Source organism: Homo sapiens, chromosome 12 (genome assembly GCF_000001405.40).
Source record: "Homo sapiens chromosome 12, GRCh38.p14 Primary Assembly".
NCBI classification, from domain to species: Eukaryota; Metazoa; Chordata; class Mammalia; order Primates; family Hominidae; genus Homo; species Homo sapiens.
Window position 1 is genome coordinate 103,726,175 of NC_000012.12, and position 26,549 is coordinate 103,752,723.

At 44.7% G+C, this 26,549-nt stretch overlaps 2 protein-coding genes across 14 annotated transcripts in view; one reads left to right on the plus strand and one right to left on the minus strand.

Moving 5' to 3' along the window:
• STAB2 (stabilin 2) overlaps window positions 1–26,549 on the plus strand; it is a 179,447-nt gene that overhangs the window by 138,902 nt on the left and 13,996 nt on the right. For all 8 annotated transcript variants that reach the window (XR_007063104.1, NM_017564.10, XM_011538537.3 and 5 more), the window contains 14 exons: window positions 1,093–1,176; window positions 2,675–2,821; window positions 3,942–4,082; window positions 5,402–5,461; window positions 6,832–7,008; window positions 9,317–9,406; window positions 11,460–11,606; window positions 13,238–13,294; window positions 14,456–14,582; window positions 16,231–16,380; window positions 18,999–19,103; window positions 20,423–20,530; window positions 22,789–22,982; window positions 24,405–24,546. Coding sequence is in view for 7 of the 8 variants with exons in the window: in NM_017564.10 (NP_060034.9) it covers window positions 1,093–1,176; window positions 2,675–2,821; window positions 3,942–4,082; window positions 5,402–5,461; window positions 6,832–7,008; window positions 9,317–9,406; window positions 11,460–11,606; window positions 13,238–13,294; window positions 14,456–14,582; window positions 16,231–16,380; window positions 18,999–19,103; window positions 20,423–20,530; window positions 22,789–22,982; window positions 24,405–24,546 (1,729 nt within the window). In the remaining variant the exon portion in view is untranslated. The remainder of the gene's footprint in view (window positions 1–1,092; window positions 1,177–2,674; window positions 2,822–3,941; window positions 4,083–5,401; window positions 5,462–6,831; window positions 7,009–9,316; window positions 9,407–11,459; window positions 11,607–13,237; window positions 13,295–14,455; window positions 14,583–16,230; window positions 16,381–18,998; window positions 19,104–20,422; window positions 20,531–22,788; window positions 22,983–24,404; window positions 24,547–26,549) is intronic.
• Window positions 20,141–26,549, minus strand: part of NT5DC3 (5'-nucleotidase domain containing 3) — a 94,920-nt gene continuing 88,511 nt past the window's right edge. For all 6 annotated transcript variants that reach the window (XR_001748758.2, XR_007063093.1, XR_007063092.1 and 3 more), the window contains one exon: window positions 20,141–20,465. The gene's annotated coding sequence lies outside the window, so the exon portion shown is untranslated. The remainder of the gene's footprint in view (window positions 20,466–26,549) is intronic.

Sequence of the window (26,549 nt, forward strand, 5' to 3'; positions counted from 1 at the left end):
ACATGTCTGTCTAGCCATAAGAGTTCAGCCTAGGCCAGGTGCAGTGGCTCACACCTGTAATTCCAACACTTTGGGAGGCCAAGGCGGGCAGATTGCCTGAGCTCAGGAGTTCGAGACCAGTCTGGGGAACATGGCAAAACCCCGTCTCTTTTAAAAATACAAAAAAGATTAGCTGGGCATGGTGGCGCAGGCCTGTAGTCCCAGCTACTTGGAAACTGAGGCGTGAGAATTGCTTGAACCTGTGAGGCAGAGGTTGCAGTGAGCTGAGATCATGCCACTGCACTCCAGCCTAGGTGACAGAGTGAGACACTGTCTCAAAAATAAATAAAGAGTTCAGCCTCAAGCCAAATACAGGATAAACTGGTGGCCTCTAGAGTTGGTGAGGGTAGAAGAAAGTCTGGGACCCTGGATTTCTAGAATTTTCTACATAAGAATGTAGTACATGAAAAGACTCCCATCACACTGGTAGAGAAAAAGGTGTGACTGGGACAGCTAGTTAACACTTGGGGTAAAAATTAAGTTTGATCTTTCTGCACATCATACATCTGAATGAGATTCAGATATAAGAATAAAATATAAAAAACTAAAATAAAATCATAAAAATGTAAGAAATAAGATTTTAATAAAATCATTAAAAACTAGAAGAAAATATGCTCATAGTAACCATATGATCTTAGAATTGCAAGAAGACAATTATAACAGTTAAGTATATCAACTCACGTTTTATGTTTGTATTATTATCCTAATGATATAAAATACTGATATGTGCAAGAGACATTGGAAAAAAATACCTGAAAATAGTAAGAGCTGCTTCTAGGTGGTGGGACTAGGGAGGCAGCTATTATTTTTTTCTTTGTGCTGTATTTTCAAAATCTTTAATACAATAAACGTGTTAATTTTATAATGAGAAGAAAACCACACACAATTTCAACGACGGAGAATCTGGGTTTCATTTGAATCCAAGACTGAAACAGAGGTCTCCTCATCCAGTCTTTGCTTCACCCAGGTGCCATCATCTCTGGTATTAGTTTGAGCCCCGGCATGTATTGATGTTAAGTGAGTGATGTGTGAGCCTCACCTTTCTTCCCACAGGAGCATTTCGTGAAAGATCTGGTCGGCCCAGGCCCCTTCACTGTTTTTGCACCTTTATCTGCAGCCTTTGATGAGGAAGCTCGGGTGAGCATGAGACTGTGGGCAGAAGGGGGAGGTCTGCGGCTGGAACATAGTCCTTGGGCCTCGCCCTGGAACCAAGACTGGAGATGTTTCTAAGCAGGAGCTCTGAGATCAGGTGGAACTCACCAGCAATAGAAGGGGCTGCCTCTTGGCACAGGGACCCCTGTCAGGGGAAACATTCAGGTGGATTTGGGGTAACCACTGGCCAGAGACTTTCTAAAGGACATTCCTGAACAAAGTATGAGGTTGGAGAAGATTAACAATTCTCAAGTGATTTAGACCTCCTATAGACAAAAAACAGGGGAGTGGAGGGAGAGATGCTGGGTTAAAGAGATTTAAATAGATTCTTTTCTTGCAGGATTTATCAGAGCCTTTACTGTTCTAATATTCACGGGGGCTCTTCATACTGGATTGCCCATTCATAATAATGATGGGTAACATTTACTGTGAGTGTCCAACACTGTTCTGAGTACCCGGCTTAGAATGACTCATTTGGTCCTCACAACAACCCTGTGAGTTCTGCTGTGATCCTCATTTTACAGCTGTGAATACTGAGGGAAGTAGCTTTCCCAAGATCACATGACTAGCAGGGGGTGGAGCAAAGACCCAAACCTGGGCCCGTGTACTTAACCACTGTACACCCAGCCTCTCCATGCCTGTATTTTGGACACCAGCAAAGCAGAGGCACAAAAATAGTTTTTGAAAGAACTTGACACTTTATAATTCAAAATAAAAAGCCATTAAAGGAGTTATGAAACAATGAGAATTTTGTGGGCTTTTGATTATTTACTTTATGTTAATATTGTTTGATTGTTTGTTTTTGAGACAGGGTCTTGCTCTGTCACCCAGGCTGGAGTGCAGTGCCATGATCTCGGCTCACTGCAGCCTCTACCTCCTGGGTTCAAGTGATTCTCATGCCTCAGCCTCCGGAGTAGTATTTTTAGTAGAGATGGTGTTTTACCATGTGGGCCAGGCTGGTCTCGAACTCCTGGCCTCAAGTGATCCACCCGCCTCGGCCTCCCAGAGTGCTGGGATTACAGGCATGAGCCACTGCACCCAGCCTTGTTTGTATTTTGAATTCCAAATGGAGATACGTCATGATCTTCCCACTACTAAAGGTTTAAATCTGGCACTGATACCTCTCCAAGAGGGCTATATACTATGCAGTGTTTCCCAGCATGTTTCACAAGAAAATTCTTTTTTGAGGATCATCTCACAGAACTTGGGATCTTTGCAACATGTATTGTGAAATCCAGGCCAGAGGAACCCCATGTTCCTTCCACACTGATATTCCACAATGGAGGCAAGAAAGGAGCTAGAGTCACTTCCTCCCTTTTGTCTGAACAGCCTCCACTCTATAATCCTGACCACAAAGCTTACTTCCCAGAGTCTGGGTGGGCCGAGAGGTGTGGAAGAGAGAATGGAGGACAGGAGAGCCAAATGGCACATTGCAGCAAAAGACTCCTGCCTCTGGCTGAAACCCTCTGATCTTCTGTTACAGGTTAAAGACTGGGACAAATACGGTTTAATGCCCCAGGTTCTTCGGTACCATGTGGTCGCCTGCCACCAGCTGCTTCTGGAAAACCTGAAATTGATCTCAAATGCTACTTCCCTCCAAGGAGAGCCAATAGTCATCTCCGTCTCTCAGGTAGATGCCAGTTATCCTTAGGTCCTCTCTCCCCTAGATCATGTCCTTTGCAGGAACCTGGATGGAGCTGGAGGCCATCATCCTCAGCAAACTAATGCAGGAACAGAAAACCCAATGCTGCATGTCCTCACTTACAAGTGGGAGCTAAATAATGAGAATTCACGGACACATAGAGGGGAACAATACACACTGGGGCCTAGTGGAGGGTGGAGAGTGGGAGGAGGGAGAGGATCATGAAAAATAACTAATAGGTACTAGGCTTAATACCTGGGTGATGAAATAATCTCTACAACAAACCCCCATGACACAAGTTTACCTGTGTAGCAAACCTGCATATGTTCCCCTGAACATAAAAGTTGTTTGCTTTTTTTTTAAACAAAGTAAGTGCCTTATCCTTAGGTCCTCTTTCTCTTTTTTTCCTTAAAGTAATATAAGAAATAATAATAACATACGTTAAGTGATTTCTGTATGCAGGCACTTAGTATTTGATGTGTACTAACTCATTTAATCTGCAAAATACTCCCTTGATATAGACAGTGTTAATCCTTAATTTCCGAATAAGAAAACTGAGCTCAGAAAGGTTAAGTAACTTGTCCAAGGTCACACAAAGAGCAAATATTAAAGCCAGGATTAAAACTCAAGGGCAGGCCTCTCCAAGTAGTAAATAGAACTGCTTTTGGTAGCATTAGTCAGAAGCTGGGAAGGTTTGAAAGCTTTTGATCCAAGCCACTTGACCAGACTGGTCCAGTCCCTCCCTACTACAGAGAAAAAAATGGTGACTGTAGAATTCCTTGCAGAAGGAAAAAAGCCAGGGGAGGAGGTATAGAACAAATATAAAAGAGAAGCCAATTTTGAGCTGCTTGCTTATTTCACATTGGAGAATCATATTGAAATTACTGTTTTAGATGATTCTATGTTATAATTAACTTCTCCAGGTGAAAGTTACATTTTTATCTCTGTTTTCACTTTATAATCATAATAAAAATACACTCAAGTATTAACTTGGATATTCAGTTTTTGCTCCTGATAATTTGACACATTGGTAAAGCATTCTGTGAGAAGCAATTTTGTGTCTATTTCACTTTGCACTCATTTCTTTTTTGTTTTTGGTTGATTTCAGAGCACGGTGTATATAAACAATAAGGCTAAGATCATATCCAGTGATATCATCAGTACTAATGGGATTGTTCATATCATAGACAAATTGCTATCTCCCAAAAATTTGCTTATCACTCCCAAAGACAACTCTGGAAGAATTCTGGTAGGTAAACTCTCTGTTATGTTTTCAGCCTGGAGTGACTCAATACATTATCATCTCTATTCTGATTCGAAGTCATCATTTTGAAACATTTTCTTTTTCTGCTTCAATCTCAAGCTATTATTAAAAGCCTAGTAAACATTATTCTTAGTAAGAAATAAATAAGTAAAAGACTATCTTAAATTGATAAGTGGGTTTTATATGTTTTTCTATAGCATCCACAAGGACAGGTAGTCTTACATAGGTTTAGAAAATGGAGAAGATAGATAAAATTAATTCTGGAGTAAAATTCCTTCTAAATTGACAGAAAATGTAATTTTAACTTTTATTTTTATTTATTAATATAGGTCAAGGTCTTCCACAGCAGAACACAGAATCCACTACACTTAGACAAAAAAAAGTTTCTTGAGATAGTAGATACATCATCAAATCTCTGGAAGGGTAGAGCCTAATTCGGATGCTACACAGCTGGGAGCAGAGCAGCCCAAGGAGGTCTACAAAGGGTAGACACCTGGCTAGGTGCAGTGGCTCAAACCTGTAATCCCAGCAATCCGGGAGGCCAAGATGAACAGATTGCTTGAGTCCAGGAGTTCAAGACCAGCCTGGGCAACATAGTGAAACCCTGTTTCTACTAAAAATACAAAAAACTAGCCAGGTGTGATGGTGCATGCCTATAATCCCAGCTACTTGGGAGGCTGAGGTGGGAGAATCACCTCATCCCAGGATCAGATGCTTGCAGTGAGCTGAGGGCAGTGACCTGAGATCATGCTACTGCACTCTAGTCTGGGCAACCAGAGTGAGATCCTGTCTAAAAAAGTTTTTTTTAATTAAACACACACACGAAGGGTGAACACCTAACCTGATAACCTTACCACCAACACCAGGCTGTTCTGGCTGTCCTGGCTGTCACAGCTCTGTGACTGCCACCTGTCTCCAGCCTCACCACCTTGGACACTAGACACTGGGCTATAGATGTCCCCATTGTGCTTGCCAGAGGGGTTGATCTCCCTTCTAGCAGCTGCTGCCACCTCATATTATTTCTTTCCACCAAGAAGCTTTGCACAAGTGCTTCTGCTTGGAGGACCTTATATATCACATTGGGGTTCTAGCTGCAAGGGAGTCTGGGAAAAAGTAGCGCTTAGCCTACTAGTCTCTAGAATGCAGAAAAGCGTGGTCAGAAGAGAGTTGGAGCAGGTGCTGATGAGCCCATCTATGTATCCGTCAGGTTATGTTACCTTTACTTTTTTTCACTTGAGCTCTTGTTAAATTCCTCTTAAACTGTATAAGGAAAAGTTTCATGCCCATTCTTATTATCTTTGCAGCAAAATCTTACGACTTTGGCAACAAACAATGGCTACATCAAATTTAGCAACTTAATACAGGTAAAAATTTAGGGGAAGTTGACTCAGAGGATAACCTGCCTAAAGAAGTTTTGTTTTGTTTGTTTTGTTGTTGTTTCTGTTTTGTTTTGACATTGGCCAGCTGTTGTGGGATCTGCATGGGGAAGTCTCAGTTTTCTGGAGAGCAAAGTCATTCTCTGCCACTCCCTTCTTAGAATGTTATATGGCTTGTTGAGCTATATAATGTACATTGGCTGAGTTAGAAATTGAGGATTTGAGGCTGGGGAGAGGGAAAGAAATTGGAATGTGGCAGTAGTGTACTAGGTGCTTCACATCTGGAATTATCAACTCCATTATAAAGATGGGGAATTTGCATGGGAGAGTTGGGAACTCTATGCCTGTGAGGCAGGTAGAAATTAAAACCGTATCTTTCTGGCAGGCACAGTGGCTCACACCTGTAATTTCAGCACTTTGGGAGGCCAAAGCAGGTGGATCACTTGAGGTCAGGAGTTTGATACCAGCCTGGCTAACATGGTGAAACTCTGTCTCTACTAAAAATACAAAAATTAGCTGGGCATGATGGCATTCACCTGTAGTTCCAGCTACTTAGGAGGGTGAGGCAGGAGAATCACTTGAACCCAGGAAGCAGAGGTTGCAGTAAGCTGAGATCGCACCACTGCACTCCAGCCGGGGTGACAGAGTGAGACTCCATCTCAAAAACAAAAAAGACATATCTTACTGACTCCAGAGATTGTTCCCATGAATTGAGTAGAAACTTCCAGTATGAACAAAAGATTGCAGAGGAGAATAGGGAGGAGCAGGCCAAGCATCTTTCTGAGGCTCCCTCTTCCCTGATACTCAACCCTGAGCAGTCACTGGGGACTCCAGAATTTGACTTTCTGATTTGCTGTCCAAGAAAATACAGGTCAGGATGGGCACAGTTGGCTCATGCCTGTAATCCTAGTACTTTGGGAGGCCAAGGCAGGAGGATTGCTTGAGCCCAGGAGTTTGAGACCAGCCTGGGCAACATGGCGAAACCCCATCTCTACAAAAATACCAAAATGTGCAGAGTGTGGTGGTGCATGCCAGTAGTCCCAGCTACTCAGGAGGTTGAGGTGGGAGGATCACTTGAACCCACGAGGTTGAAGCTGCATTGAGCTGTGACTGTGCTACTGCACTCCAGCCGGGGCAACAGAGTGAGACCCTGTCTCAAAAATAAGAAAAAAAATTGTAGGTCAGAATGGTTGGGGTGTGATGGGCTTCTAGTTTCTCTAGCTGCATCACCCTTGAACCATCCAGAGTCCCAGTAAGCCACGGGCTTGAGCATGGAGGAGAATCCTCAGAGACAGAACCCCTGCCCACATGTCTGGGCCTTGCTCAAGCCAGCAAGGGGCTGAATCCCTGTGTTTCAGGACTCAGGTTTGCTGAGTGTCATCACCGATCCCATCCACACCCCAGTCACTCTCTTCTGGCCCACCGACCAAGCCCTCCATGCCCTACCTGCTGAACAACAGGACTTCCTGTTCAACCAAGACAACAAGGACAAGCTGAAGGAGTATTTGAAGTTTCATGTGATACGAGATGCCAAGGTATTTAGTTTACATGCAGACATAAGTGCAAGAATGTCCCAGGGTGGTGATAAAATTCAGCACCAAGGCATTGTGGCCTAGGAACTGTCAGTGTGTCCCTGTCACCACTGTATGCAGGAAGCCACAGCATCCCCTGCCCCACTGTGTCCTCCTCTGACTGGCCGTGGTTGATTGGCTCCTGCAGTATACCACATTTGGTTCTGTTCCTTGGACCTGCCAATTTTTTTTTTACTTTAATCAATACCCAAGAGCATCATTCCTCTCTCTACTGCAGATCAGCGTTTCCTCCTTCCTAGTTCTCCTGGCAAAATGGCTGCTGAAAACAGTTCTCAAGTTTTTCCAGATGGACTCTTTCTCATCCAATTCCAAAATTTCTAGGCAAATGACTGATTGATCCAGCTTCAATCAATTGTGGCCCCTGAACTGATTAACTGTATCAGAGAAGCACGATCATATAGAAACTAGCATGATCATATAGGAACATGCATGATCACATAGGAACATATGTGATATAGGAATAAGCATGATATAGGAGCAAGCACAATCATATAGGAATAAGCATGATCATATAGGAACATACATGATCATATAGGAACATATATGATCATATAGGAGCAAGCATCATCATATAGGAGCAAGCACGATCACAGCAGCAAGCATGATCATATGAGAGCAGCATGATCATATAGGAGCAAGCACGATCATATAGGAGCAAGCACAATCACATAGGAGCAAACATCATAAAGGAGCAAGCATGATCACATAGGAGCAAGCACGATCATAGGGGAGCAGCACAGTCATATAGGAGCAAGCACGACCATATAGGAGCAAGCATGATCATATAGGAACAAGCGCGATCATATGGGAGCAAGCACGATCATATGGGAGCAAGCATGATCACATGGGAGCATGCAGTCTTATAGGAGCAAGCACGATCATATAGGAGTAAGCATGATCATATGGGAGCATGCACAGTCTCATAGGAGCAAGCACGATCATATAGGAGCAAGCACGATCATATAGGAGCAAGCACGATCACATAGGAGCAAACATCATAAAGGAGCAAGCATGATCACATAGGAGCAAGCAAGATCATATAGGAGCAAGCACGATCATATAGGAACAAGCGCGATCATATGGGAGCAAGCATGATCACATGGGAGCATGCACAGTCTCATAGGAACAAGAGCGATCATATAGGAGCAAGCACAATCATATGGGAGCAAGCATGATCACATGGGAGCATGCAGTCTTATAGGAGCAAGCACGATCATACAGGAGCAAGCATGATCATATAGGAGCATGCACAGTCTCATAGGAACAAGCATGATCATATGGGAGCAAACATGATCATATAGGAGCAAGCACAATCATATAGGAACATGGCAGCCATCCTGAGTCCTCATCCAGGACTCATGTTTCTCTCCAGGACCAAGTCTGCTCAGTTCAAGAATGCCAAATGCCCCAACTTTAGTTCATCCACAGCATCTAGATTAGTTTCCCAGGGCTGCCATCACAAATTACCACAAGCTGGGCAGCTTAAGCCACAGAAGTGGTTTTTTTTTGTAGTAAACAGTTCTGGAGGTGAGATGTCGGAGATGAAGGAGCTGGCAAGGTTGTTCCTTCTGGAGTTTCTGAGGGAGAATTTGCTCCATGCTTCTCTCTCCGCTTCTGGTGGCTTCTGGAAATCCTTGGTGCTCCTGGATTTGTAGTGTATCCCTCCAATCTGTCTCTGCCATCACAGGACTGTCTCTCCCTGTGTGTTTCTGTGCCTTCACGTAGCATTTGCCTCTTCTTTCTTATAAGAACACCATTCAAACTAGATTAAGAGTCCACTCTACTCCAGGATTACCTCATCCTAACTAGTTACATCAGCAATGACCTCATTTCCAAATAAGATCATATTCTGAGGAACTGGGGGTCAGGACTTCAACATAACTCTTTGAGGGGCACAGTGCCACCCATAACTGCATCCTATGTCATTTCCCAGCCTCACCCACTCATTCTTTCATTGGCTTCATACGCTAAGACTGCATCTTCAGAGACTCCCAAGCATAGATGGGAGATGGAAGGGTGATTGAAACCAGTCCACCTGGTCAACTCTTTCCCTCAAGAAGGAATTTCCAACCTCCCAGAGAGCCCCGATTATTCTTCCCATTGGTTATACCTACGGTCATTTGTAAAGCTAAAGTTATTATAACTCGTGGAAAAATTTGCATCTGAATTTGGTTTTTTGGTAAAGCTCCTTCGGGCCGTCCCTTCTTCGGCCCAAATTTGGGGCAGTCACGTGGTGCCATCACTCCTACAGGTTTTAGCTGTGGATCTTCCCACATCCACTGCCTGGAAGACCCTGCAAGGTTCAGAGCTGAGTGTGAAATGTGGAGCTGGCAGGGACATCGTGAGTATCATCATGAAGGGTGGGCAGGGAGGGGTTAACACATTCACAGCAAGCTATTCCCCAACAACTGCCCCTTCAAGGAGATGTTCATTTTTTCCCCTCCATTCATAGCGGGCTCATTTTTTTTCTCACTACCTTCAGAGGTATTTTTCCTGAGACTGCGTCATTGGATATGAAAAACCTGATAAATCCTGGCCAACCCAAGCCCTCCTAGCAGGTGGCAGGAAGCCTCTTACACTGTGGAGAGCAGCTTCCAGTTGATTTCATTTTTTGTGTAGAGCATTTTCCAATGTGAGATACTTTCCTGAAACAGGAAAGTATACAGTCATTCCTTTCTCTTCCTTCCCAGCCCCACCACTGTGACCTCACCTCCAACCCTCTCTTGTCAGTCAGGGCCAGCTCTGGGCTATACTTACCTAGATCAGCCAACTGAGAGGTTTGCAATTTTTACCTTCCCTGGCTAGTTCCTGAACAATTCTGTCTTCCTGTAATTCCATATGATGAATGGGTCTAATGGGATTATTTCAACTGCATATCATGGAAAAGCCAAAATCCTGTGACTTAAATATATAAGGATTTATTCTCTTTCATAAAAGAAATCTTTAGTATGATGGCTCAGTGGAGAGGTGCCTTCTCTTTCTGCTCTGCAGCACACGGTTCAAGCCTCTAAGGTCCAGCATGGTTGCTGGAGCTCCAGGCACCATGTCTACTTTCCAGGCAGTGGGAAGGAGGAAGGGCAAAAGGGATGCATCTCCCAATTGAGTTAATTCCCTTCAAGGAGGATTCCAACAAGTTCCATACAACATTCTGCATACATCTTATGACCAGTATCCCTTTGGTATTTGAATTAGAATTGCATTGAATTTATAACTGACTTTGAAGAGTATTCACATCTTTTCATTCCAGCTTCTGGTACGTTATCCCAGTGTGCACTCTTGGGATTGTCCTGTCTCCCTAGACCAAAATAGACAACTATCAGAGAAGGATAGTAAGAATGCCCTCTGCTTGTTCTGTGTGTTGATATAGCTTTCAGAGCACTTTGCAATGTATTATTTAGTCTGATCTGTATAACAACCCTATATTAGAAATCCTTTACTCTATTTACCTGGTGAAAAAAACAATGAACCTCAGAGAGGTTCAGTGACTTGCCCATAGTCACATAGTACATGAGTGAACACGCAAGGCTTTAACCACAGTTTTCTGGTGTTCCTTCCACTGAGTCACACTATCTCCATCCCATCCATAGATGCTGGGAGTTATCTTGTTTTCCTCTCAAAAGCTTTCTAAAAGCATTTTGTATATTGGAAGAATAATGTATCCATCAACTTACTAGCTGGGTGACCTCAGGAAAGGAAGCCCTGAGATTATTGCCAGCATTAAATGAAATAATATCTCCAAAGCCCAGTTGATTATGCCTGGTACATGTGAAAAAAGAAATTATCATTACAAAGTTAAAGCCTGTCACTTGTACACCCTGGAAAGAAAGCCAAACCGGGCACTTTGCTAGGTGCTGGCACTAAATAAGGAGACTCAGTTACTACACACAAAGAGGGCACATCAGCGAAGTTCATCCCTAACCACAGCAAGGTCATCCTTGCTCCAACCTATCACCCACTGCTGACGTTTCTCCTTTGGTAGAGGAAGTGAAGCAGAGGGTTCAAGGGGGCAGGCTTTGAGGCTGACTGCCTGGGTGCAAATGCCCACACCACCATTCACTGGGCAAGTCATTTAACCTCTCACTGCCTTAGTTCCCTCGTCTGTAAATGGGTACTAATAATAATAGCTACATCCATAGAGACACCTTGGATTTTTGTAAGAATTAAAAGAATTAGCACAGGTAAAGGACTTAGAACAGTATCTGGCACATAATACAAGCTGGGTATTTGATAAATATATGAATACATGGGGTTTTATTAAGTTCTTCCTGAGTCTTGCAGTTACTGGCCATGTTACATGGCTGGGAAAGAAGAGATGTGTGAAAGAGATTGACTGTTTCTCTCTCTCTCTCTCTCTCTCTCTCTTTCTCTTTTTTTTTTTTTTTTTTCTTTCTTAGGGTGACCTCTTTCTGAATGGCCAAACCTGCAGAATTGTGCAGCGGGAGCTCTTGTTTGACCTGGGTGTGGCCTACGGCATTGACTGTCTGCTGATTGATCCCACCCTGGGGGGCCGCTGTGACACCTTTACTACTTTCGATGCCTCGGTCAGTCCTAAAAACAACAGTGTAGTAAGAGAACCTTAAGCCAAAGAATGGCCCTCATGATCCAGTGTGGACCCTGTTGTGAAACCATTAAGGGCCTGTCCTCAGCAAGACTAGGACCCAGAAGACCTGAGGGCCAAATGATGTAGTTCTTTAGACTCAGAAGCAACAGGCATCTACTTAGCCCCACACAGCCTGGAATATTCTTGTTTATCCACCCATCTACTCACCCACTCATTCACTCCCTTATCATTGAGAAAACAGTTTTTGGATACCAACCATATGCCAACTGCCATTCGTTTTCAAACACATCCCTCTATTCAGTCACTCACTCATGCATTCAACAAATATTTGTTGAATGTCTGACAGATTACACCATATGAAATTGCCATATTTGACAGTCTGGAGCCTATGAAAAGGGCAATTTCACATAGTCAGTCTAATATGATATGCCACTCACACCTCTATTCACTTACCCATTGATTCATTCATTTGACAATATTGATTGAACTTCTATCCCAGGCCCTGCACTGTGTGAGGCATTTTTACATTCACTCATTCATCCATCCAGCACCTTTACTGAGTACTCCCCTGAAGCCAGCCATTGTGTTCAATGCTTAGCTTACCCCTACAATAATCCAATAATAGGAACAGTTATCATCTGCCCTATTGTGTAGATTTAGAAACTGAGTCTCAAAGAGGTAAAGTGACTTTACATGGCAAAGTTTGTCACCAGTTGATATCAGTACCTGGCATCCCCTAGGAATTTCAATAACTATCCCAAATTTTTTGGATCCCAGTCAGCCAAAGTAGGAGATGAAACCAGTTGTCCTTTCTACAACAGGGGTCTTCTTAATTTCCAAATTATATTCCACACATATTTTTCATTTAATCATTTTTCCTCATCAATCTTCTGAAGATCAAATAGCAAGAATTATTATCCCTATTTATTATAAAACTAAGGCTCAAATAGTATTTGTGATTGGCCAAAAGTATACCATTTAACTTAAAATGGAACTAACACTTGCACCCATATGTCCCACTGCTAATAGCATATGCCTGTAAGACACTGCCCTGGTCCAGCTCTGTATAACAGATTTTCCCTTCAGAGAACAAAACCACGGAGCTAATGCCCAAGACAGATCTTCAGAATTATCTGTGGCAAAGTTAGTGTGTGTGTGTTGATATTCTTTGTTGTTGTTGTTGTTGTCGTCTTGAGATAGGGCCTTGCTCTGTCATCCAGGCTGGGGTTCAGTGGTGCAATCACAGCTCACTGCAGCCTTGAACTCCTGGGCTCAAGTGATCCCCTCAACTCAGCCTCCAAAGTCGCTGGGACTACAGGTTCATGTGCCACCATGCCTGGCTAATTTTTTTTTTTTTTTACAGTTGGAGTCTTGCTGTGTTGCCTAGGCTGGTCTCAAACTTCTCGCCTCAAGCAATCTTTCTGCCTTGGCCTCCCAAAGTGCTAGGATTACAGGTGTCAGCCACCATGCCTGGCCTGTTTTCATATTCTTGATCATAGCCAGAGTCTTAAGATTAGTTAAGCCCTTAATCCATCCAGGTATTAATCAGGAACATTTCCTTGTGTTTTCTGATATTCTTGGTTTTCAAGTGTTTCTTTTCTTGCATACTAGGGGGAGTGTGGGAGCTGTGTCAATACTCCCAGCTGCCCAAGGTGGAGTAAACCAAAGGTAATTAAGACTGCAGTGATAATGTTTGGAGAGCCATAGGTCTGTTTCATTATCAGACCTGTGTGTGTGTGTGTGTGTGTGTGTGTGTGTGTGTGTGTGTGTGTGCCCGTGCACGTATGTTGCATAAATGTAATTTATGTCATTCTTTCAACAACAAAGCCAATGGGGTAAGATAGATATTCTCAGCCCAGGCAACCTGTCAACCCATGTTCTAGGACCTGTCTAGAAAAGTCATGGGATGGTAGACCTAGAAGGACTTAGAAGATAATTATGATTATAAAAATAGCTGCATTTTGTTGGCTGCTCTCCATGTCCCAGGCTCTGTGCTGAGCCTTTATATACTCATTACTCTATCCCTCTTTATAATACTCATAGGAAGCTATTATTACCTACACTTTACTTATGAGAAAAATGGGTCTCAGAGAGGGTAAGCAATCAGCCCAAGGCTACACAGCTAGTAAGGAGCAATGCTAGGATGAAAGTCCAGAGAGCAATGGAGAGTAATGTTTAAGTCAATGAAATTTGGAGTCCACAGGTATGGGGTCAAATTCCATAATCTTTGACAAATCTTATGACCTATCAGGTTTGCCTCTGTAAAATGGAGCTAATAATGGACTCTCTGTGCAGCTATTAGGAAAAGTAAATTTTAAAAATGTGGGTACACTGAAGTGCCTGGCACATAGTAAGTGCTCATTAAATGCTGTTTTGTATTACTTATTCCAAAGTCAAGCTCTTTCTAGTCTACTAGTAAAACCTATAACAAAAATATCTCTACAAAACAAAATCTAACTCATACCCTCCCTGCCTACAATTTGGGAGCCTTGCCCCACACCCCTTCCATGACAGCAAGCTACCTCCTTCCCACTCCCTCCCCAGGCAACCATGCCACTTGCAGAGCACTCTAAGGGTCTGAAAGTTCTTCCCCTTGAGACTGGGGAGAAATCTTCCCATGGACCCTAGATCTACTCCCTCCCCTATCTGCGTGTTTCTGTTGACTCCCATAGGAAAAATATCACCTTGGAAAAAAAAAGTTGGCTCACACTGGAAGTCCCATTTTTTATTTGGGCAGTACCTAAGACCTCCATGAGGGCACAGACTAGAGCCCCAGAGCCCTAGTCCCTGCAGTGGTAAGTGAAGGGATGGTCCACTCTCTTCCCTTAGGGTGTGAAGCAGAAGTGTCTCTACAACCTGCCCTTCAAGAGGAACCTGGAAGGCTGCCGGGAGCGGTGCAGCCTGGTGATACAGATCCCCAGGTGCTGCAAGGGCTACTTCGGGCGAGACTGTCAGGGTGAGGGTGCCTCTTCCCCCCTCGCAACTCTAAAAGTGGTAATATGCTCCTGCTCGTTGTCCAGTCTTTGAATGTACCAAAATTATAGGGGGATGGGGGAAACACTGCTAATAATGATTCCCAGACCCCAGAACTCTGAAGAGTTGTGTATCATTCCTTCTACTTTGGCATATTTTTTTTATCGAGTTGAGATCCTGCTGTGCATATATTGTAATTGTGTGTCTGCTTTTTCCCTTGACATTACAGCATAGACATTTATTATGGTGCTAAATACACCGTATTTCATTTTTGATGCTGTGCAACATGATTTCCATGATATTGATAAGCATGTTTAAAGACTTTGATGTGACTCTCCCTTGGCAGGTGATGTACTGACACAGTATGTATGGGCCATAATTTCCTGAGCGCACCCCTGTCCCTGGTAGAGGATGTATAGCATTGGCTCCCTCTGTTACCTCATCAGGAAAGGGCTCCTTGCCAAAGCACATTTGGGCCCATTCTGAAACCCCTGTGTTAACTTCTAGCCAACAATACATCAACAGGTGCACGTAACAAATGCCTCAAAAGCACTATCTGCTACATGTTGTTCTAAGTAGGCACATTTATTGAGTTTTATTGAGTGCTTTTTCCCATACATATCAAAACATTTAATCTGGGCAACAACCCCTAGGGAGTAGGTTCCATTGTTGTCTTCCCCTCCCCACTGACTTTTTTTGAGAGAGGGTCTCACTCTGTTACCCAGGCTGGAGTACAGTGGCAGGACCACAGCTCACTACAGTCTCAACCCTCTGGGCTCAAGTGATCTTCTCACCTCAGCCTCTCAAGTAGCTGGGACTACAGGCACATGCCACAAGACTCAGCTAATTTTTTTGTATTTTTCATAGGCTGGGTTTTCGCCATGTTGCCCAGGCTGGTCTCAAACTCCTGAGCTCAAGCAGTCCATCCATCTTGGCCTCCCAAAGTGCTAGGATTACAGGCGTGAGCCGCCGTGCCTGGCCTGTTGACCCCATTTTGTAAATGAGAAAACAGAGGCACAGAGAGGACAAGAAGTAAACCCAAGGTCCCACTGGTCTGTCTTCAGCAGCTGTGATTTTTACTAGCATGCATACTCCATTCATCATAATCTCACTGAGAATACTCTGGGTTGAGAGCCCCCATGACCACCCAGCTCCACCCTCCATCACTAAAGTGTGGACCATTCATGAAAATCAGTATCATTCTAATATTTGTTCAGTGCTTTATATTTTCAAAATGTTCTCAGTTATAATGCCTCATTTGATCTTCACAATAACAACATGGGTATAGGTCAAGCAGACACTGTATCATCATTATTATCATCATCATTTAGATCTAAGAAAACAAAAGCTCAGAGCAAGTTCATTACTCAACCCAGATATCCTCAAATCCAGTGCACAAACCCCCAAATACAGTGCACAGTTCAGTGTATCACCCTGCCAAGACAGAATCATATCAGATACCATAAAGTTCATGTCCCATAGGCCAGTGACGTGCCTTAAATATCCACTGACACTGAAGGCGATGGTCCCTCTGGGCTAACAGAAGTCAGATGCCACAGCACATTTACAAAGGTGCTGAGCTGCTCTGGCTTTGGGAGACTGTTGAGTCACTGCTGTTTCATCTCTTCCAGCCTGCCCTGGAGGACCAGATGCCCCGTGTAATAACCGGGGTGTCTGCCTTGATCAGTACTCGGCCACCGGAGAGTGTAAATGCAACACCGGCTTCAATGGGACGGCGTGTGAGATGTGCTGGCCGGGGAGATTCGGGCCTGATTGTCTGCGTATGTGGCGCCGCTTCTCCGTGCTAGAGCTTGTTTTTTGACTGTGTGCTCCCTGTCCTTGTTCATGCCATCTGCCTGACCTGGAGGCATCCTTTTGTCCTTTCTCTCAGCCACACCCCTCCAATCTGCCTGCCCTATGTGTTTATTTCCTCCTTGGATGCATTCCCAGTTTCCAATGAAAAAGCTTCGCCTCTAGAAGTGAAACTTGTCCCCAGCAGCCACTAAGGCAAGATGTGGCTGAACAATGTTCATTCGATCATTCAACCAATGTGGATTTACTAAGTCCTTACTAATAGTGAATGCTGACATTGATTAAGTGCCTACTATGTGCCAGGCACAAATGTTTTACAATTCAATCCTCTTAACCACCCTTTGAGATAGGTACTGTTATTATCTGCAAGTAGCAGATGAAGAAACCAAGGTACAAAGAGCTTAAGTGATTTGCTCAAGAGCCAGCAATTTTTTTTTCTTTTTTTTTTTTTTTTGAGACAGAGTTTCGCTCTTGTTGCCCAGGCTGGAGTGCAATGGCGCAATCTCAGCTCACTGCAACCTCTGCCTCCCAGGTTCAAGTGATTCTCCAGCCTCAGTCTCCTGAGTAGCTGGGATTACAGGCGCCCGCCACCACACCCGGCTAATTTTATATTTTTAGTAGAGACAGGGTTTCTCCATGTTGGTCAGGCTGGTCTCAAACTCCCGACCTCAGGTGATCCACCCGCCTCAGCCTCCCAACAGTGCTGGGATTACAGGTGTGAGCCACTGTGCCCGGCTGAATATTTCTAATGTCTAGGGATTTGTGGTTTAGGGACTGACAGGGACAAAATTCCAGCTCTCAAAAGGCTTACAGACACAAATTTTTCTAAAAAATAGTTATAAAGGATATAAAAGCAAAGAAGCAGGTAGAAGGGTGAAGAATGAAAGGAGACATTGTTTTAGAAGACACCTCACATAGGGAATATTTGAGTAGAGACCTAACAGACGCAAGGGGACCAAGCATGAGGTATGAAGAGCAGGCCAATCAAACTTTCGGCAGTGCGGGAAAGACTCCATGACTCCACTGGCCAGTATGGTAGCCACTAGGCACATGTGGCTATCGAGCACCCAAAACGTGTGGCTGAGGAAGCAAATGTTTAATTAAATTTAAATAGCCACGCGTAGATAGTGGACAGTGCAGACCAGAGGAACAGCTTTCCTCCAGGTGAGATGAGCAAGTGCAAAGGCCCTGGGACAGAAGCCAGCTTGGTGTGTACAGAACAGCAAGAAGACCAGGGTGGCTGAGCGGAGTGGGCAAAGAGGAGGAAGAGAGGAAGAGAATGCAATCTGAAGGTCACCAGGGGCCAGATCTTCTTGGCCAATGAAAAGTCTTTAGCTCTATGTGTGACAGGAGGCCAGCAAAGGGTTGTGAACAGAGGGATGTTGTGAAGAGATTAGAAAGGATGGCTCTGGGGAGGGTATCTGTAGGAGAACAGGCACAGAAGCAGGGCCCCTTGGAGAAAATAATGCAACAACCCAGGCCAGCGCTAATGGTGACTTGCACTAGTACGGTAGTGCTGGAGGTGGTGAGAGGTGGTGGAATTGGTACATATTTTTTAATGTTACTTTTTTTTTTTGAGACAAAATCTCACTCTATCACCCAGGCTGAAATACAGTGGCGGGATTATGGCTCACTGCAGCCTCAACCTCCTGGGCTCAAGCAATCCTCCCACCTCAGCCTTCTGAGTAGTTAGGACTACAGGCACATGCCACCATACCCAAATAATTTTTTATTTTTTAAATTTTTTGTAGAGATTGAGTCTCCCTATGTTCCCCAGACTGGTCTCAAACTCCTGGCCTCAAGCAATCCTCCTGCTTCAGCCTCCCAAAGCACTGGGATTACAGGCATGATCCACTGCACCTGGCCACAATTTTACTTTTTTTTTTTTTTTTTTTTTTTAAGACAGGGTCTCACTCTGTTACCCAGACTGGTATACAGTGGTGTGATCACAGCTTACTGTAGCCTCAACATCTTGGGCTCAAGCAGTCCTCCCATCCCAGCCTCCCAAGTAGCTGGGACTAAAGGCGTGTACCACGACATCTGGCTAATTTTTGTTTGTTGTTGTTGTTTTGTAGATACGGGGTTGCACCATGTTGCCCAGGCTGGTCTTGACCGGGCCTCAAGCAATCCTCCCACCTCAGCCGCCCAAAGTGCCGGGATTACAGACATGAGCCACCACACCCAGCCAAAATTTTACTTTTAAATAGATTTCTCCATCAGGAAGCCCCAGATGAGATGATCTCCCTAAATGTTCATTGCGTACCCCATGATACTCTCTACTGTGATTATAACATTCATCTCACTTATAATTATATGATCAACAGCTGGGCACTCTGAGACTGTAAGCCCCATGAGAACAGGGACCTTCTCTATTATGTTTTTCCCTGTAACCTTATCGCTTAGCAGTGCCTGGCCTGTGATAGTCCCTGAATAAGTTATTTTTTAGATGTTTCAATGAATGAATGAATGACTGTGACATAAGCATGGTGCCTCCCACAACTGAAAATGCATAGCAAACAAGGGGTCAGGGAGCTGGTTGATTGGGTCTCAACCCCTGATGACTGACCATATCCTAATTTGTTTACAGCCTGTGGCTGCTCAGACCACGGACAGTGCGATGATGGCATCACGGGCTCCGGGCAGTGCCTCTGTGAAACGGGGTGGACAGGCCCCTCGTGTGACACTCAGGCAGGTCAGTCATGGGAGTGGTCAGCTGCTGGCAGCCCAGGGCTGCAGTGGACACTGCCAAGAGCATACAAGTGAGGTTGGGAGTCTGAGTGACATCTGAAAAAAGTGACAAAGCAGGTCCATGTGGTAAAAGATAATTCAGATCTGTAGCCCCGGGCCTCAGGAGGATGGAGACTTGCAGTAAAACTAGATGAAAAGATTTAACTCAAACCTATGAAACTAGCATGTCATCCTGTATGATTATAGGACCCACCTCAAGCACAGAATCCCAGGTTCAAGCAAGGACTGTGCCTTGTCTTGGTGATTTTGGGGCCCAGATGGGTACTGACACAGAGGCTGAGTGGTTTCATGGAAATCACTTTGAAGGCCCGAGACCAGGGTCTGACCCCTGGTTCTGCTACTTACTAGATGAATGGCCTTAGAGAACCACACTCTCTGAGCCTTGACTTGCTTATCCTTAAAAAGAACTCCATGCTACACATTCTGCAACGCAAGGATTGCTGGCAGGGTCAGCGAGCATGGTTTTGAAGTTCCCAGTGTACGCAGATGCTCAAAACAAGCAGCTGCCATTATCACACTCATCATTTATAATCATTGCCATAGCTCGATCCTTACTAGGTGGTCAGTTTTCTGATGTCTCCTTTATACTCGAAGCCCTGTGTTCTGGTAGATCTGAAATGTGCTGGTTGAATTATCCATGTGAATGACTGTCATTTAATCCTCCCTGGGGTCACAGGGCATGGCGAGGCCCTACCTGTGGGCTTTAGCAACCTGAAGTTTCATGGGTTGCAGCAGTATGGCTAACTTGAGTTCCTCCTCCCTGTTCCTTCTGCCTCCTCCCTCCTCCCCTAAGCACTACATGGCCTCCTGCTGCCTGCATGCACTGTAACCCCAGCCAATACCAAAGCTCCAGGCTTCTCCCTAGCTCAGTGGTGCCCTCAGAAGGCCATGGAATTTCTCCTCCAATTTAACCATATCCATCGGGAACCCCTGTCCTTAGAGCCAGAGAGCTAATCTGCCAAGTTCATTCCTGCTAATAAGTTTTGTGGTATAAAGTTTTAATTGATAGCCCCTAAAGAACATTTTTTCTCATATAAATCTCAATGACATTGCAGAGATCATGTCTTACTATAAAAGAGTAATTCTAGAATCCCAGAATCTCCAAGGCTAGAAAAGACCTTAGCAAATCACCCCATCTTCCTGCTGTACAGGGGCACTTATGAACACAGTGGTCGTCCAGAGAGAGTCTTGGAAAGTCTCCTTAGATGGGTTTTAACTCTTCACACCATGGGTACAGAATGAAAGTGGCCCCTTTCTTTGCAGTTTTGCCTGCAGTGTGTACGCCTCCTTGTTCTGCTCATGCCACCTGTAAGGAGAACAACACGTGTGAGTGTAACCTGGATTATGAAGGTGACGGAATCACATGCACAGGTAAGCCACCTTTGTGCACAGGTGAAATAGCAGCATGGTGTGGGAGAGGAGCAGGACTTGCTCACAGTGCCTGGGCTTCATCCTAGCCCTCCTTCCTGTCTGGGCCACTTCAGCAGCACCTACCCTCTCTATGACTCAGTTTCTTTAATGGGTGTGCTCATGCTTGATCTGCTCACCCTCTAGGTCAGGGTTTCAAAATTGTTTTGCAAACTGGGATGCACTTTACTTTAGAATGTTTTTCTTTCTTTTTTTTTTTTTTTTTTTTTTCCGAGATGGACTTTCACGCTTGTTGCCCAGGCTGGAGTGCAATGGTGCAATCTTGGCTCACTGCAACCTCCGCTTCCCAGGTTCAAGCAATTCTCCTGCCTCAGCCTCCCAAGTAGCTGGGATTACAGGCATGCGCCACCGCACCTGGCTAACTTTAGAGTGTTTTTCTAACTCTACAAGTAATCCAGCCTTCAAAAAAAAATCAGAAAATACACAACACCATTTTTTTAAGTTAAACCTAAACATACTCTCACCACTAGGTGAGAACCACTGTGAACACTGCAATATCCCTCTATAGTAGTTAGGATATAGGTTCAGCCATACAGAGGCCCAAATGAACAGTGGCATAAATAAGGCAGATGTTTCCTATTGTCTCATATAACAGGTTGGAAGTATTCAGGGCTAATACAGTTTCACTCTGAAAGCTCATTTTGGGGGCTGAACTCCTTTTCTGAACTCCTTTTATCTTGTGGCTCTGCCATCGTTCACTCACCTCACCTGAGGTGGCCAATACCATAAGCCCAGCCTGGACAGCAAGATGGAAGGAGAGGAAGGAGGCAAACCTCCTTCCCTTTAAGAATGCAAACTAGGAATTGTTAAAAATCACATCTGCTCCCATCCCATTGGCTGGAATCTCATCATTGGTCATGCCTAGCTACAAGGGAACCTGGGAAATGTCGTCTTTTATTGGGCAACCATGAACCCACCTGAAAATCTATTATTACAGAAAAAAAGAGACTAGGCTGGGAGCAATGGCTCACACCTGTAATTCTAGCACTTTGGGAGGCCGGGGTGGGCAGATCACTTGAGGTCAGGAGTTTGAAACCAGCCTGGCCAACATGGTGAAACCCCATCTCTACTAAATCTACAAAAATTAGCCGGGCATGGTGACAGGTGCCTGTAATCCCAGCTACTTGGGAGGCTGAGGCAGGAGAATCACCTGAACCCAGGAGGCAGAGGTTGCAGTGAGCTGAGATCAGGCCACTCTACTCTAGCCTGGGCAACAGAACAAGACTCTGTCTCCAAAAAAAAAAAAAAAAAAAGGGAAGAAGAAGAAGAAAACAGAGACTAGGTATTGAGGAAAAATCAGCAGTCTCAGCCACATGTACTTTCTAATATTTTTCATGGATAAATATTCACAGAGATATATACTTTCTTTACACAAATTAGATCTTGCTATACCTGTTCTTTATTCAGCTACAAGGCATTCCAGAAGTGAGTCAGCATTCAACAATGGCAACAAAGACCTAGATTCTCTTTTCCCACCCTCCCATCCTTAGAATGAGTCTTCTTGTCCTTGTATTTATTCTTCCAGGGTCTCAAGTGGCTGCATAAATGCAGATGGCTTTTCAGCTACTCCTGAGGCTGGAGCTAATCTATCGTTGGGTCGATATTTGGGGGATCATAAAAACAAAGGTTCTAAGAGGCAGCACAGTGAGGAAAGCATGGATTTTTGGAGGCAAACCAACCTGGGTTTAAATCTTCAGCCAGGCCACATTTTAGCTGTTTTAGCTTTGTCAGGTCAGTTAAGCTGAGTCTCAGTTTGTTCATCTACAGAATGGGGACAACAATGTCTATCTCACAGGGTGCTCAATATTGTACTAACTCTACACCACACACACACACACACACATACACACACACACACACACACACACACACACACACACACACACACACACACACACTGTCCTAACATTAAAAATCCAAATTTATTCTGAAAACTGATACCAAAGTCAAGCCTGGAGGTATATGACAAAGGGGGCAGAAGCGGACAGATGTCATCAGGCTGCATCTATGAGGGTGTCACAAAAATATTCATGTTGCAAAGGCCAGCACAGAGGCCACAGGGCATGGAGAGAGAAGCACGAACACGCAGGGGCCCATTTACTCACCCAACACCACTAGTGCTGTGGTGCCCCATACCCTGACCTGAAGCCCTAGTTCCACAGAAGGTGGTAAGTTGAGCCCTCTCTCCTCTGCTCTTGCAGTTGTGGATTTCTGCAAACAGGACAACGGGGGCTGTGCAAAGGTGGCCAGATGCTCCCAGAAGGGCACGAAGGTCTCCTGCAGCTGCCAGAAGGGATACAAAGGGGACGGGCACAGCTGCACAGAGATAGACCCCTGTGCAGACGGCCTTAACGGAGGGTGTCACGAGCACGCCACCTGTAAGATGACAGGCCCGGTGAGTCGCTCTTTCCCAGGGAAATTTGGGAGCAGCGCCGTGGGCTTCGCTCCTCCTTGCCTTTCCACCTCCCATACTCTGCTTATCTCCTGGACTCTTCCTAAACATTTTTTCTAGCACAGTCTGTTTCTTGTTAAAAGTCATTGGGCTAAATGCAAGGTAGTCCCCTAGGCAGAAAAAGGACGTCCATGGAAAACTGGTTAAATTCTTAAGTGTATTGCTTAGTTAACAGTAATGTACCAACATTAATTTCTTAGCTCTGACTAATGTGCTATAGTTATGTTGGACATCAGGGGAAAGTGGGTAGAGAGTATAGGAGAGTTTGCTCTTTGGCCACCCTTCTATCTATCTAAAATTATCCTAAATAAAAGGCTTATTAAAACAAAAAGCTGGCCGGGCACGGTGGCTCACGCCTGTAATCCCAGTACTTTGGGAGGCCGAGGCAGATGGATCACGAGGTCAGGAGATCAAGACCATCCTGGCTAACACGGTGAAACCCCATGTCTACTAAAAAAATGCAAAAAAAAAAAAAAATTAGCCGGGCATGGTGGCGGGCACCTGTAGTCCCAGCTACTCGGGAGGCTGAGGCAGGAGAATGGCATGAACACAGGAGGCGGAGCTTGCAGTGAGCCGAGATCGTGCCACTGCACTCCAGCCTGGGTGACAGAGCAAGACTCTGTCTCACAAAAAAAAAAAAAAAAAAAAAAAAAAAAAAAGCTGGTAAGATGTGGCAGGAAAAGTGCCGAAAAGATGATGCAAGATAATGTCCGTTCCTGGTTATAAAGGTGGTTCTAGAGTCAGATTGCTTTTGCATCTTACCTCCTGGACTGACAAGCTGTGTGACCTGGAGGTGGCTAATTACTCTCTGAGCCCCAGTTTTCTCATTTGTAAAGTGGGCCTCATAATAATGCAGACATCATAGAGTTGTTGTGGGGATTAAAGGAGATCATTCATTGATTCAACCAGTGGTCATTGTGCACCTACTATGTGCTCTTGCAGGTCCCAGGGTTACAACAAAAAGACAGAGTCCCTGCTTTCCTGGTGCTTGTGCACAAGTAGAGAGAGGGGGCAATGCACTGTACAGAAACAAATGCATGGAATTTTTTCAGAGAGCACAAGGAGCCCTGTGAAGAACATAAATCAGGCCAATGTGATAGAAGGGAATGGAAAAGCTACTTATGTAGGGTGGTCAGGGAGGCTGTCTCTGAGGAAGTCACATTTGAACTGAGATGTAAAGGATGAGGTTTCATCATAAGCCTGCATAAAAGCAGGACGTAGCAGTTATTCCCACTGGACAGGAAAGGCACGTTCTCTTGGTCCATCTGAACACCTCCTAGGCTGGACATTGGTCCCATGGGCACTTGGGCATCCTGGGGTCCTAGAGAAGGAACTTTTTCATCTCTTCCCACTCTCCCTCCACAGGGCAAGCACAAGTGTGAGTGTAAAAGTCACTATGTCGGAGATGGGCTGAACTGTGAGCCGGAGCAGCTGCCCATTGACCGCTGCTTACAGGACAATGGGCAGTGCCATGCAGACGCCAAATGTGTCGACCTCCACTTCCAGGGTTAGTGTGACCAGGGCCTATGGCCCAAAGCACCCTCCTCTTCAGGCCTGGGGAAGGGACCCTCAAGGGAAAGAAGAAAAACAAAACAGGCCAAGCCTGGTGGCTCAAGCCTGTAATCCCAATACTTTGGGAGGCCAAGGCAGATGGATCACTTGAGGTCAGGAGTTGGAGACCAGCCCGGCCAACATGGCAAAACCCCATCTCTACTAAAAATACAAAAAATCAGCCGGTTGTGGCAGTGCGCGCCTGTAATCCCAGCTACTTGGGAGGCTGAGGAAAGCGAAAAGCCACATAGAAGTGCAGAGGCATGGGCAATAGGACATCTTGAAACCCAACGGAGGAAGCCAGAAAGGACCCACAAACATAGTTCCTAGCCAAGGCAGAGGGACTTCAGTGGTTCAGAAAGTGACTCAGGGCACTGCACTTTATGGCTAATCAGTATGTACTGGATCTCTCCAGGGTTGGGTTTGTTTGACAGATGTGGTCTCTGGTGGAGACTTCCTGGAGGCTTGAATTGGGCTAGAGGAGCTAGCAAGCCATTTCTGCTGGCCAGGACAGCATGGCCAGGAGAGAATGATCAAGGGTCAGCTGAGAAGGATGAAGCCATGAGGAAGACACATGAAGGCTGTGACCCCCTAGTGGCAGGGTCTGTACTGAGGAGTGAGATGAGGTTGAAAGAACTAACAATGGACACAGAATAGAGAAAAGGAAAGGCTCAGCCATGACATAAAGTTTCCATCCTGAGACCAAATGCAGTGGTGGTGCTGGGTTAAAGCAGCTGGGGAGGGAAGGTGACGAGAGGTTTGAAAGCTTGGTTGGGGATATTCTATGGTCTAGGTACAGGGGCACTTCCAAGCAGAAAGATTTTATGGGCAGTTGCTACTTAGCATGGGGATAAAAATGCACAGCTGGGACCAGCTGATTTGGAAGTTATTTGCCCCTGGGACTGTGAAGTCAAGAAGAGCTTGGCTTTTTCTTTAGGACACAGTTCATTCAGCCTGTCCCACCTGTTCCCAAAGCCCACTTCCAAGTGGAAATCTACCCAGACCATAGAGTGTGGTCCAGCTTCTCCCATGGGCTTTTCTCTTCTGTTTTCTTATGAATGCCAAGAAAATGTTGGCAGTGATACTAAGTGACTGTGCATCACGTTGGACCTCCCTTCTGTTGGAGCTGTGTGGTTACCATTAGCTTGGGAGAATGCCCCAGCTTTCCCTATAGGCACAGTTACAGAACCATCCCACATTCAGGAGGAAGCGCCTGCCCTCACACAGTTCATAGGAGGGCAAACTGCCTTCATGATTTGCAGCCGATTTGGTAATGTGTGCAGCAGACAGCCTTAAAATAACTCATACTGAGACCTGATGGTTCCGTTTCCAGGACCCCATCCTACAGAAATAATCTGAGAATTGAAAAAAGATAAGCATACCCATCCCACCATTATTTAACATCACAGAAAATTAGAAATAACATATATATCTAATAGTAAATGATGATAAAATATATTGATATACATCTACTCAAATTCATTGTAAGGTATTTTGTTGTCTCAATAAAGAGACAAGGAACACTTTTCCATACTTCTCCAAGCTGTTAAATTGGTGTTTGCATTTCAGATATGGCCAAGATCATTTGACTTACGCACTGTGCTACTGAAATATGTTCAAACGAGAAAAACTTAGTCTTCTTTGGTGTAGAAAGTATCATTTTTGTGGCATTATACAATGAACTTGACAATATAAAAATGTGACTTGCTTCTTGAACTATTGCTGGTGTCTGCACTGAATTGTTTGGTTAGGAAAGGTATCAGCTATGAACCAATGATAAAAATCTTCCAGTATCTTAGGGGGAAATGAATTTTTAAAACTTTTTTAAAAAGCACAGCAGGGGTCAGAAAACACACAGCCCTGGGCAGAAACTCACTTTAATGTGTTTTTTATAGCTGTAAAGGTCACAACAAATTTTTCAATTATAAATATGGGGAGGAGGAGAAAATCATGTTACCA